Source organism: Homo sapiens, chromosome 11, assembly GCF_000001405.40.
Source record: "Homo sapiens chromosome 11, GRCh38.p14 Primary Assembly".
Lineage (NCBI taxonomy): Eukaryota > Metazoa > Chordata > Mammalia > Primates > Hominidae > Homo > Homo sapiens.
In genome coordinates, this window is record NC_000011.10 from 2951769 (window position 1) to 2964620 (window position 12852).

At 44.7% G+C, this 12852-nt stretch overlaps 1 protein-coding gene and 1 non-coding gene across 15 annotated transcripts in view, besides 1 other annotated feature; both read right to left on the reverse strand.

The window, feature by feature from the left end:
* The window catches only part of NAP1L4 (nucleosome assembly protein 1 like 4), a 47893-nt gene that overhangs the window by 7332 nt on the left and 27709 nt on the right, over positions 1-12852 (reverse strand). For all 14 annotated transcript variants that reach the window (NM_001369380.1, NM_005969.4, NM_001369382.1 and 11 more), the window contains 5 exons: positions 8002-8141; positions 6631-6776; positions 3976-3998; positions 2759-2878; positions 12-41 (listed from right to left, as the gene is read on the reverse strand). In NM_001369380.1, the coding sequence (NP_001356309.1) occupies positions 12-41; positions 2759-2878; positions 3976-3998; positions 6631-6776; positions 8002-8141 (459 nt within the window). The remainder of the gene's footprint in view (positions 1-11; positions 42-2758; positions 2879-3975; positions 3999-6630; positions 6777-8001; positions 8142-12852) is intronic.
* Positions 9075-9581: an enhancer, noted in NCBI's record as "NANOG hESC enhancer chr11:2982073-2982579 (GRCh37/hg19 assembly coordinates)". NCBI's record gives its function as "activates a minimal SCP1, AML or CMV promoter by ChIP-STARR-seq in naive H9 embryonic stem cells {active_cell/tissue: H9 hESC(naive)}" and the evidence as "EXISTENCE:reporter gene assay evidence [ECO:0000049][PMID:30033119]".
* On the reverse strand, positions 12003-12125 carry SNORA54 (small nucleolar RNA, H/ACA box 54). Its single transcript, NR_002982.1, has one exon. It is a non-coding gene; the product is annotated as a small nucleolar RNA, H/ACA box 54 (small nucleolar RNA).

The window sequence follows — 12852 nt, forward strand, 5'->3', positions numbered from 1 at the left end:
CTGTCTCTTACCTCCTCTTCTCCTTCTTCACCTTCTTCAAACTGGAGAAACACAGAAAAACATTTTTAGGTTTACAAAACATGACAGCAGCCTGCCCAAGACACCAGTCCCATCAAGTGACTCACTGACCAAGCCTAAGAGGAGCAGAAAGTCCAGCCACGCTGCCTGCTGGGCCTCGCTTGCCTGAGGAGCCATTTGCTTGTGTGCAGCGCATTTTAAAAGCATGCCAGGAAATTGAAAGTCACGCAAAACAAGGAATAGGATAGGAAGCTGGTCAGCCAGGGTGTACCCTGGACACAGCTGGGAACCTGGCACCACAGCTCTGCCCTGGCTGTTCTCACACCGAGGAGCAGGCACACAGGAAAAGATTTTTGTAAACCGATGAATTTGTTTTCCTTAAATTTTCTACAAGGCTGATCGAACCAGCAGCATAATGTTATTGGATACAGGAATCTGGGTATCATTTTACATCTCATACAAAGGGAAAAGAAACCTTAGTAGAAATATATTAAAACTTTGGTGTTTAATCTTTAAAGTGATCAATAAGGTGCTCAAAGGTGAACCTCCACCATTAGTCAATTGTCTTGAATCAGTTTCTCCTACATCCAAATACATCATTGGTCAGACTAAAAATCAAGTTTCAAACATGAGACTTACACCAAAAGCAAAACCACCTTATCACTACTGGTTGCATAACAAGGGTAGTGCATGAAAATGCAGCTTCATTTATCAACATTTCCCATTTTGTTGAGCTCACACCATGTATTTGCTTAGAGCCAACTTCGGTGGAACTTAGAAGGGCCCTACTGTGCTGGTGTGGAGTTCACACAGTGTGCACAGCCTCCTGGCGCCACGCAGCAGCCAGGATGAGATGTGGCCACGGTGCAGCGCCCTTCCGCTCTAAGGACCCTAACTGGCATCAGGCAGGGAAAGGCTTCTCAATATTCTTCCATTTCACGTCAGATCCAACGAGCCTCCAGCAGGCTCCAGGGCCTATTCCAAGGCTCTAAGGACAGCATTTTGCCCTTAAGGGGCTGTGCACAGGGGCTGCTCCAGATGCATCACCCACCTGGGCAGAGCAGGAGCTGCCACGTGCAGAGAAGACAAGACCAGGGTTCCCACATTCACCTCCTCCTCCAACAACTTTCTAGTGTTGGGGTACGGTCTAGAAAGTAACATTAGTAAAACACTTTATGCCAACACTTACTGAGTCATTGCTCTGTGCCAGGTGCTATGTTAAGGGCTTAACAAGTAACCAGAGTCTTTACCATGAGCTCTACTTACAGCTGAGGAAACTGAAGCTCAAGGAGGTGGTGGAGCTACTAAAGGGAGAATGGGGATGCGAGTCTGAGCAGTCTAATCTGAGCTGGCACTTCTAGCCTCTAACTGACACTGCTCATCAGTAGTACCTGTGCTGAACGTATTGTGAATGAAACGCACATGTACTATAAGCAAATGTGGCACAGTGCTCACCAGCAGTACAGATACCGCATATAAGTAAGCAAATAGCACACATGCATATTCAAGTCCTTTAAACTGACGGGTGTATGATCAAAACAGTTTCAGATAAGCTTTCCAATGTGTAGCCACTAGCCCTTAGCTCACTATTTAAATTTAAACTAAGGTAAATGAAATGTTCAGTTCTTCAGTCTCAGCAGCCATATTTCAAGTCCTCAAGTGGTCAGTCCTACTGCACTGGACCAAGCAGGCAGAGGACAGTTCCATCAACAGAGAAAGTTCTACTGGAAAGTGCTGGTCTAGAATTTGTAAAACTATGTCTTGGCAGCTACCTGACTGTCCATGTTCCCTGACCTGCAATCACCTCCCAACCTAGGGATGAGCCAGCAAGTTGAGTTTTAGAAGTTAAATGAACAGTCTAAGACCTAACAGCTGATAAAGAGCACGCTGGCCTATTCTCCCCACTGGTGGAACTCAGTACAATGGGAGAGGTGTGAGGAGATGTTGGCCTTTACTGCCACAGGGGGCTAAGGCCCTTGAACCCACCTAAGCTCTTGCCGCCCTGTCTGAAGCCCCAACAGACCAGACCTTCTAAGAAAAGAAACCTAAGAGCTCCACAAGAAAGAGAGTATCATCTAGAACATACTTCCAGTAACAGTCTATAAAACAAAACTTTATTTTCCACAGATCAAGAAGACTTGAAGCTGCTTGAGCCTTGGTGAGGATGGGAGTTTCTAAGCGGTACTTGGGCTGTGCACCCGCAAGTTCTGACTGTGGAAGAGCTGGCTTCCCTCAAGCCCAGAAAGGAAAGTGACATGCAATCTTGTTGTTTTCTTCGGGAGCACGGGTTTCTTTTTTTTCCTTTTTACCTAATTAGATAGAAGTTCAGGAATTTCTATTTCTTTTGGGTTGATGAACCACAGGCTAGCATAAGTCCACTGTCAATAAATGTTTGTTGTGGCCAGACCTCCATAAAAGAGATATTCCCTGTGTTCACAAGTTCCCTGAAGCTTAGGTTTTGAGAGAATATTGTTGAGTCACTAGGCAGGGCTCACATAGGAAACTGGCAATCACCTCTGAAACTGCTTCACAGACACCTGCTTTTCCTGCTCTGTTCCTCAGACTTCTCCTCTTCAAGCGTATTCCCCCCACAACAAGGACAGCAGCTTGGACTACATATCTGGCTGATGATGTAATAAAAAGATTAGGCATGGGGGTTTCCTAAGCCACAATTCAGGGCCACTCTGCACCAACAGAGATAAGCACCCAGGTGGAAGCCCCCCTTCCCCGAGCCTCATACATTGTCATCATCTTCTATGGCCTCCCCAGTGAAGTACAGCACAGCCCGCGGGACTATCCGCTCACGGAAAAAGTGTCCAATTTCAAAATCAGAGGCTAATGTGAATTCAGAATCTTCATCCTGAGGAGGAAAAACCTACGTGTTAACTCATTTTAATGGGATAAAAACATTCACTTCACCACCCTCAGCCAAACCTCAGCCCCTCACTTTTGATTTACTTAACTTAAAACACCAAACTCCTGCACTGCTGGGGGACAGCCACTAGACACTCAAAGCCCCTTTAAAACAACTTTAAGTAGCTTTAAAGAGCTACTGAAGCAAAATGGCAGAGAAAGTGGGAAGTGAGGGCCCTACAGCTCCACAACTTGTCCAAAGGTCTCACCCAGAGTAGGCGGTATCAGTCTCACATATGGGAAACAGGCAGTATTAAAGCACTGCACATTTGCTACTGAAATCAACATATGAAACACATACTTTTACTTAGATGTGTAATGATTTCAAATTAATCCCAGAGTTTTAGGAAACAGAAATGGATTTTTTTTTTTTAAGAGACAGGGTCTTATTCTATCACCCAGGTTGGAGGGCAGTGGTGCAATCACAGCTCACTCCAGCCTCAAGCTCCTGGGCCCCAGCGACCCTGGAACTACACAGTGCACCACCATGTCCAGCTAATTTATTATTTTATCTTTTGAGACGGAGTCTTGCTCTGTCGCCCAATGGAATACGGTGGTGCAATCTCAGCTCACTGCAACCTCCTCCTCTCGGGTTCAAGTGATTCTCCTGCTTGAGCCTCCTGAGTAGCTGAGATTACAGGCGCTGCCACCGTGTCCAACTAATTTTTTTTTTTTTTGGTATTTTAAGCAGAAACGGGGTTTCACCATGTTGACCAGACTGGTCTTGAACTCCTGACCTCTGGTGATCCACCCACCTTGGCCTCCCACAGTGCTGGTATTACGGGCGTGAACCACCATGTTCGGCTGGCTAATTTATTTGGTTTTAATTTTTTGTGGAGATGGGGTTGTGCTATGTTGCCCAGGCTGGTCTCAAACTCCTGGACTCGTGCAGTCCTCCCACCTCAGCCTCCCAAAGCATTAAGATCACTGGCATACCCAGTCCACACACAGCCAGGACTGGACTTTTTTTAACAAGTAGACAAGTAGACATTCACTCAGGAGAGACTTCAACAGGAAAATAAGACTATTAACAACAAATCTTACCAGTGATTCTCCATCCCCGGATGCTAGAAAAAGAAAAGACAAAACATATTTAAATTACAGTGACAACTCCCAGAATTTTAAAGCCCACACAGGAGGAAGCTGTGCTGGTAGATAAAATGTAACATTTCTCACCTCGAGGTTTAACAGAAATCCCCAAAGCCTTGCATCTCCTCACAGACATCTTTGCAAGCTCCATCCACCACTTCTGAAGCTGGCCTGAGTGCCTCTATGCCCCCCTCCCTTCTCCTCCTCCATCATGTGCCATGGGCTGGCACTCAAGCTTGAGAAGATCATTTTGAGAGAGTTAATATATTAACAGGAGGAATGGCAAACAGCCCCCAGGCTGTGGCCATTCAGTGCATTTGTGCTTTATGGGGAAACTTAACTCATGTCCCGCAGAACTATACATGATGGTGCAGGAAAGAGAAAGTCCTTAAGCCTTATAAGCTGTGAGTGTTACTAAGGCACTGCAAATCAGCGAGACAGAAACTGCATTTCTGTTTGTTTGGAGAGTGCTGGAATGCCCACCAGGGGCCCCTGTAGAGTGGCGCAATTCCTCAGCGAAAGCTGATGCTCAGACGAGCTAAGCCCACCAAGACAGATAGGGACTTCTAACCACACTCAATGAAGCTGTGCAACGTTCAACTGGTAGAAGATCCAACCCCCTGATTTTAGAAACATTTACTACAAGACCCTGAGCTTCATCAGGAGTTGAATGTTTACTCTGCTTAGTCTCATACCTGCCTTTTCAATCTTCACTGGGCTCTCCTCTCTGAGTCTCCCTTCCCATTAAGCGACCACAACCCTGGCAGCACTTGCTGTTTGCTGCTGAGACATGAATGTTGGGTGCGTAAACACCACCCATGAGTGAGGCAGAGTTCCCAAGCCTCGGTGTGCCAGCATCACCCAGGGGTTTTAGACATGGGTTAGGAGCATGGCTGGGTGTCTAAATGCTGGAGCAGCATGCTCCCCAGGGCACTCTGGCCCAAGTCATGAATAGTACAAGGACTCTGAACACTCATACTTCTGGACTGGCTTTGCAGTTTTAAGGACAAAGGAGCTGGACTCACTAGCTAATGCCTCCTTCACTTCACACCACAGGAGTCCATTTTGTCTGTTCCTTCACTACCCCATTACCTATTCCGCAGCCATCCTCAATTTTTTTCAAAGCACTTACCATTTGGTATTATGTGTTTGATTACTTTAAAAGTGGCTTTACTGATGGGATTTACATACCATTAAAAGGCATACACTCTAAATGTACAACTTTATGACTTTCAGTACGTTAATTTTAGAGTTGTGCAACCATCATACCCTAAAAGTTTTAGAATCTAAAAAAAAAAACACTTAAAAATTCCCTTGAGTCCATTATCAACTCCATTTTTATCCTAAAAATTATTTTTAAATCAGTTTTAAGAGAACTTCCTACACAAAGTGATTCCAGAAATTAAAGCCTCCCTTCTTCACGCTGAATTCACAGACAATCTCCAGTATGCCCAACCCAAGTGTCTAAAAGGAATCTTCCAAAAAAAGGAAATGTAATATCTAAATTTATGACTGCTCTCATTCCCCAAACCGTATGTATTTGCATCTTCTAGGTTCAAAGTCTAATTGCAGAAAATAGGCACCACAATTAAAATAATGGACTGAACTCTGAAGGGCAGCTTGATAAATAAGGGTGCTAAGCTCAGAGACAAAATCAAAAAATCAATCACTCAGACTGGAGAAGAGATCCGCCCTGTGGCCCCACATACAAACAAACACTCACTGATTATCTGCAGCAGGGGCTGGCATCTCTTCACTTCAAATTATGTTTTAGTTCATGGAAACTAAAGAGAATATGGATATTTTAACACTGACAAGTTGCTTGACCTTCACATTTTCTCGCGATTAGGAAATTATATGAAAAATCCCAAGAAATTTACTCTTAAAATCAATTGGTCAACCTTTACTAGCTCAAAGGTCTCATCTTTATTTTACCACTTAGGAAAATTTAAAAAATAAATAAATAAACAAAAAGAAGCAGCTTCCAAGCTGTGATTCTGCCGATGTTTTTCAAAAATGAAAGTCCCAACTACTTGTGTTTCTTACAATATATAAATTCCAAAAAATTCTATCAAATTATGCATAAAAAATTACAAGAAAAGGGGGACTAAGCAGATGATCCAAAAGCAGCACAACTAGAACCAGCGTACAGCAGTAACGGGTACCTGCAGAGCAAACCCAGCAGCTCTCCGAGGCTGGGAGTGGTCCCCGGGGGGTGCGAACCAGACACAACAGCGGGGCAGAAATGCCAGCTGGTGGAGAAGGGTGCTCCAGGTGTCCAAGTGAGGAAGCAGCCCAGGTGCAAATACTCGATTCAGTTTTCTTAAAACAGAACTGCAAGTTTTTGCCTGGGCTACAGCCAAGCAGAGTAAAGCTCTTCCCTTTCCTGCAGAAGATGACAATCCTACTCTTACTGTCCTAGCTACCTCTGCCCCCCGCGATAAACTTGCCAGCGCACCAACAGAACAGCCTGGGACACAGCAATGTGCCCCTACTGACCACACTTGCCTGAAAAAAGAGGACTAAAGTCTCTGGGTGTTAGGAATCTATCAGGTGACCAAAATTATTTTATATAAGAACATAATGAATATTAACAACCAACAGACTTGCCTTTCAATGGATTGAAGAAGTTGAAAAAGGACTCATTGGGTACTTGTTTCGTAATTGTTCTAACAGTGCCTCGACCCTTATGCTTCTGCTTTTTCTTGATGGTTTTGACAGTAACATTCTTTCCTTTCTTCCAGTCAATAGTACACCTACCAGGACAAGACAGCTGTCAGGAACACACAATCCATGAGAAAAATCCATTACAAATGCATGCAGGAAGCAAACCACAGCTCTATGCCAAACCTGGAAAACGAAATAAAACCAATCTGCAAACCAAATACAATGGCCCATGAAGTTCATCTGGAGGTTGGCAAAAAGAGAAACAGCCTGGTCCTCTTTCAACTTGGGTGTGACCACTGGAACTTCAGACTTCTGGAACAATGGTATTATTTTCCCAAGACATTTCATCAGGACTCTGAAATGTATATTCTGTGGCAAAGCCCCGTCAAGTCTGCATGATGCACAAGAACTTGTCCGCGGTTTCCCAAGGAAGGAGGAGTTGCTGCTGTTCAAAGCAGCCAACTGAGCACGACAAGCTGAAAAAAGGAAAGAGGTGGCCACCGGGAATACTGATGGCCAGTGCAGACCACTCCAGCCCCAGGGATGCTGGCGAGGGCTGAGCACAGCACGCTCTCTCTAACACACAATCACCACAGACCCAGGCAACACCTGGCAGATCTCAATACTGCCCGCTTAAGAACATGCTTGGTAAGGCCAGGCCTTTTTCTCACATGATGTCCTGGCCCTGGAAAATCATCTTTCTAAATTACTCTAGCAGGATTTTAATAAAGTCCTGAATTAACAATTACTATTTACTTCTGGTAAATAAACGTAATTGTTTCAAGTCAAGACTAAAACCATTTCTCAGTCAACCCAACCTGGAGAAATTAATTCTAAACCAAATTCTCTCTTTAGTGATTTATAAAGACTGAAATCAGTGAGTCAAACAACAGCTATGCTGCCCCCACCTATTTCCAAAGCAATCAGCTGATCAATATAGCCCTGGACTCAGACTCATTCATTCAATAAGTATTTATTTGCTGAGGGTAATCCATGGATTCAATTTTAAGAACTTCAATTCACGATGTCTAGAGAATCCACTACTTTCATTAAAATGAAGAAACAGGGCACTATCCCAAAGGCTTGCATGTGCAACCACGTGACTCATTTCCCAGGTTCAGCCGCCATCTCCAAGTTCTGCACTATGAGCATTCCCAAACTGAAAGACTATTGAAATATACATCTACCAGGCTTTTAGGCTTTTAAGCAGACTCAAGACTGTACTTTATTCCTTACTTCTATCTTACCCATCAAGTTACAAAATTATCTTTTGATTTTGTTTCAGAAAAACAAGGTAGAATGACATTTTCTTACCCGTCACAGTCCACAATCTCAGGACCTTCAAAGGAAAAGGGATCAGCCTTATCTGGTTCTGATTTCATCTTGTAGGTTTTTGTCAGGACTGAGTTGGTAAAGTAGTCGTTGGGTTCAAAGTGGAACTCTAACACAAAAGACTAAAAGTAGAAATTCAGAGTAAGCACCAGTTAAAATAGAAAAATAACGAGGACAGATTGCTTGGAGTACACAACACTTACTAGAAGCTATTTTGGGAAAGCTCAACAGATAGGGCCATGAACAAGAAAAACTTCTCCACCGCAAAAAAGACTAGCGTGAGGTTAAAAAAACCAACGATGGACTGGCGGGAAATATCTGTTCAGTTCATGAGTAAGGGGCATGTTCCCCCTCCAATGCCTCCTCACCAATAGGCGTCAAGCTCTCCTAAGAAATCCTAGCTTCTCTTAGCTGCTCCCAGCCCTTGCTTCCTGGAAGGAGGGAAGGTGACTAGGGGAAAGTAAGGGGACCAGCAGTCCATCCTCCTCCTGTCCTTTTCCGCTCAGCCTAAGCCCCAGCCCCCACCCTGCTGGGGGAAGCCAGGGTCTCTACTCTGTGCTGTGCAGTGAAAGCAGTGACCCACAGCTTTTCTCCCGGGAGGTGGGTGGGAGAAAAGGACAAATCTCTACAAGGACAGAAAGCTCATCCCTCACTTACAAAGCACGCTACAGACCTGGAAGAGACGTGAGCACACCGGGAAAAAGGATGCAAACATGAACGCAGGCATAGAACAACCAACAGCAGCAACAAGGCATTCATGCTCACGAGTAACAAAACACATGAACACCAAAATGAGATGCCTTTCTTTGGGGCAAAATGTACAAAAATATGTAGACCCGGCCAGGATTTTGGGGTACTGAGCACACTCATGTACTGTCGACAGATTTTATGAAGGACAATTTGGCAATATCAAAAAAAATTAAATTAAAAGGCATATTCCCTGACTCAGTAATTCTATTTTGAGGAATTTGTTCTATTTGAGAAAAATACCTGGATGGATGCATCGATATGTGCAAAGACATTGACCTCATCCCTATTTATAGAAGAAAAACATGGAAGATGCGCTTGGTTGAGTAATTTATAGACAGTTTACAAGACCAGTTCTACGCTCAGACAGCCTGGATTCAAATCCCATCTCTGCCTACACTGCTAGGCAACTCGCGGAAGCTACTCAATGTCTCCGTGCTTTAGTTTCCTCATCTCTACACTGGAAATAACTCTCTCCCTCTCTAGGAGCTGCCTTGGTGGTTAATCTGTATCACTTAGAGCCGCGTTTATAGGCAAGGCTGGCTAAATGTCAGCTGTTTCCATTTTCATTGTAATGGTAAAACCATCAACGGGGGGGAAATTAAGAGGACTAAAAAAAATATACAGCAAAAAAAGTTTATACATTCAAACAAACCACTTGCACAAAGGAGAAGTGAAAAAACAACTTTCAAAGAAAGGTGGAGGAGGAGGCGGGGCATGAGGGCTTAGGAAGTCAGGATCAGGGAGACAGTCTAGTCGGTTTCTAGAAGGGATGACAGCAGGATCTGGCTAGGAGCTCTCCACTGGCCTTGGCAAGAGCAAAGGAAGCGGGTAGGGCACTGCAGATGAACCACACAAACGAAAGGCCAGTCACCTGCCTGGCAAAAATCACAAGGAAAGGAAGAGGCAGCTACAGGGAATCAGCATCAAATAAAATGCCTATTTCTCTCCCAACCCTCCACGGCTTAAAAAAAAAAAAAAAACCAACATAAAGAGGGAAGACAAGTAGCCAACCAATGGAGAGACTGCTATGATTCCAGAACTGTTTAAGGCTGTGACCACAGTGTGGACAACCAACCCAGGGCATGGGGTGGCCCCAATAAAACAAATAGTACTATTAGACTTGTGGTCCTTCACCATGTCCTACTCATTTTTTCCCCTCCTTTTTACTTTCTCTTTTAAAGACCAGTTCTCCCTATGTTGCCCAGGCTGGTCTTGAACTCCTGGGGTCAAGCAATCCTCCCACCTTGGCCTCCTAAAGTGCTGGGATTACAGGCATGAGCTACCACACCCAGCCTACTTTTCTATAGATAGATTCATGTTTCTTCCTATTTTCCTTTTTTCTCTCCCCTCTGCCTTTGTTCAGTCAAGAGTAACCCAAAGACAACTGAAGATGATTCAAGAAACTGTTTAGCTGCCCAAATGAAAAGTGGCTTGAAAATAAGACTGCTTCATTCACACACGCACTACAGCCAGGTAAGCCATAAATATGCTAACCATGCTCAATCTTACAAGCAACTAAAGAAATGCAAAATTAGGCAGGGCCTGAGTGGCTCATGTCTGTAATCCCAACTGAACGACCTTTGGGCCTTCTAAAGCTTCATCTTCTTTGACTGGTAAGTACACTGAAAGGAACCTAAACTAAGGAAACCATCAAACATTTAATTTAACACAAATTTGGGTTCAAGTATGCTGATCATAATGCAACAATTTACAATGGGGGAGGTGGGGCATGTAGGGGAATGTTAAACTGTTTTATAGCCAATGGCTGCAGTAACAACTATTCCCCCAGCCAAGCCTGTGTGATGTGGCAGCAGGGTGACACTGTGCACACACCATGTGGTGTGGCAGGAGCCGTGTGGCACACGTGTGCACTGTGTATCCAGGTAGGCAAGCGCTCAAGGGAAGGGAATGAGGCATGCTGCAAAAACACCAGTCAAGACTCATTTTGAAGTTTCATTTATCTTTATAACTTAAAATGCATTAGACGCTTCATAATAATTTTACAAAGGAAAAAGAGTATGGGGAAATTCACTAAGCTGCTGAGATTTACTTTTAGAAGACAGATTTGTATAGTGTTCTTTACACTTGCCTGTATTTTCTACATATGACTTTTATAATAGGGAAGTAAAAAGAAAAAAAAAAATTACTGGTCCACAGTCTACCATAACCAGAGCTCTAGTCTATGAGTCACAATGAGATGGAGAAAAATAAGATGACAGGCTAAGAAAGAAAGAAAATTGACCTAGGAAATCATCAAACAGGTGTCCAATAAGAAAAAAAGAGGCCGGGTGTGGTGGCTCATGCCTGTAATCCCAGCACTTTGGAAGGCTGAGGCGGGTGGATCACGAGGTCAAGAGATTGAGACCATCCTGGCCAACATGGTGAAACCACGTCTCTACTAAAAATACAAAAATTAGCTGGGCGTGGTGGTGCGTGCCTGTAGTCCCAGCTACTCGGGAGGCTGAGGCAGGAGAATCGCTTGAATCCAGGAGGCAGAGGTTGCAGTGAGCCGAGATCATATCACTGCACTCCAGCCTGGTGACACAGTGAGACTCGGTCTCAAAAAAAAAAAAAAAAAGAAAAAAGAAAAAAAAGGAAGAAAAGAAAAGGAGAAAAAAGAAAGGAAAAAAAAAGGAACTGACCCAAAAGGGAAAAAAAGTTAATTGCGTCTGGATGAATCACAGGTAAGAAAGAAGTACAAAGAAAAAACGCACAGAAACTTAAAGCACCGCACGCTCACACCATGGGGAAGAGAATGCACACCAACGAGGGCAAACTAGGCAGACGTGCCCAGGCGGCTCCTGGGGGCCCTGTGATAAAGTCTAAACAGAAGTGATGCAAGCCCAGGAAGAAGGACCTGCTATAACCCACATGGGGCAAGGAAGATGGGGTATCCCCTCTGGAGGGCAGCCCCCAGCTGGTGAGCAGGCATCACTCCCAGCTCCCAGGGCCCCACCTAGAGAGGGACACCTGAATGTCACCTTCCATAGTGGAAAACAGACAGGAAAAAGTAGAAGAGACAGATACAGGTACATCCACTGCCCACCCCTGCTGCTGCCCCAGGCATTACTTGCAGCACTTGCAGTGAAGAAATCCCACTCCTAGTGGCCCTCATCCATTAGCCCAGGCCCCAGTGCTGAGATGGGGAGGAAGGAAGATACTGGTGACTGGCCCCAGGCCCCTACCACCATCACCCACACCCAAGATCCCTAACCCACAGCCCGTCATGCAGCATTTGTCTCCAAGACCTGAAACTGAAAGCCACCAGTCAGTCAGTCATGTGTCGCTGGAAATGCTATTGCACCGGAATGGAACCCATTAGCTACAGCCAGGCTAACGGGTTACGAACAGTGCTCCCTGGGAGAACCAGGCTGGGATGAGACAGTCTGGCAAGGCCATTTGAAGATGAGCATATGGTTCCTCAGATAAAAGTAAGGGCTGACCTAGTCAAGCTTATCTTACCAACTGGTAGGCTGATCCATGCCACTAACATTACTAATGCAATGATATGCCATGGCAAGCATATTGTAAAGACGTGTTTCAGGACAAATCAAAGAGCAGGAAAACATTTTTCAGTCTTATTTGCGCTTTTTTTTTTAGGGTAAAACCTAGTAGGTTCAGATTTCTGAATAAGTGCTGATCATTATGTGTACATAGCTCCCATCTTTTTAAACGTTAAACATATACATTAGATGCATGCAAACTTCAGAGACACTTGGGAAAAGAATGGTATCATCTCCACCCAACAGAGTAAACAAACAAACTACAAGACCAAGGCCTGGCACAGTGGACAGCACCACTACAGCCCAGGAGTTGCAGCCTGACTCCTGCATTGGTGCCCACCTGGCTGCAGGGTCTGGGGCATCACATGGTCTGCATCACTGTCAAATCATCCAGCACAGACTCACGACTACAGTGCCAAGCATGACACAGAAAGGCAATGGGATCCCCATCGAACTCAGGGAGCAAACACACAATGCGGTACTCAGTCTAACTCTTGGAGAGCAGTCTCGCCCAGGGCTGCCCAGCAGATGAGTGGCTGGGTGTGGGTTTTGTGGGTTTCTTGCCCCTGGCTCCAAGTTC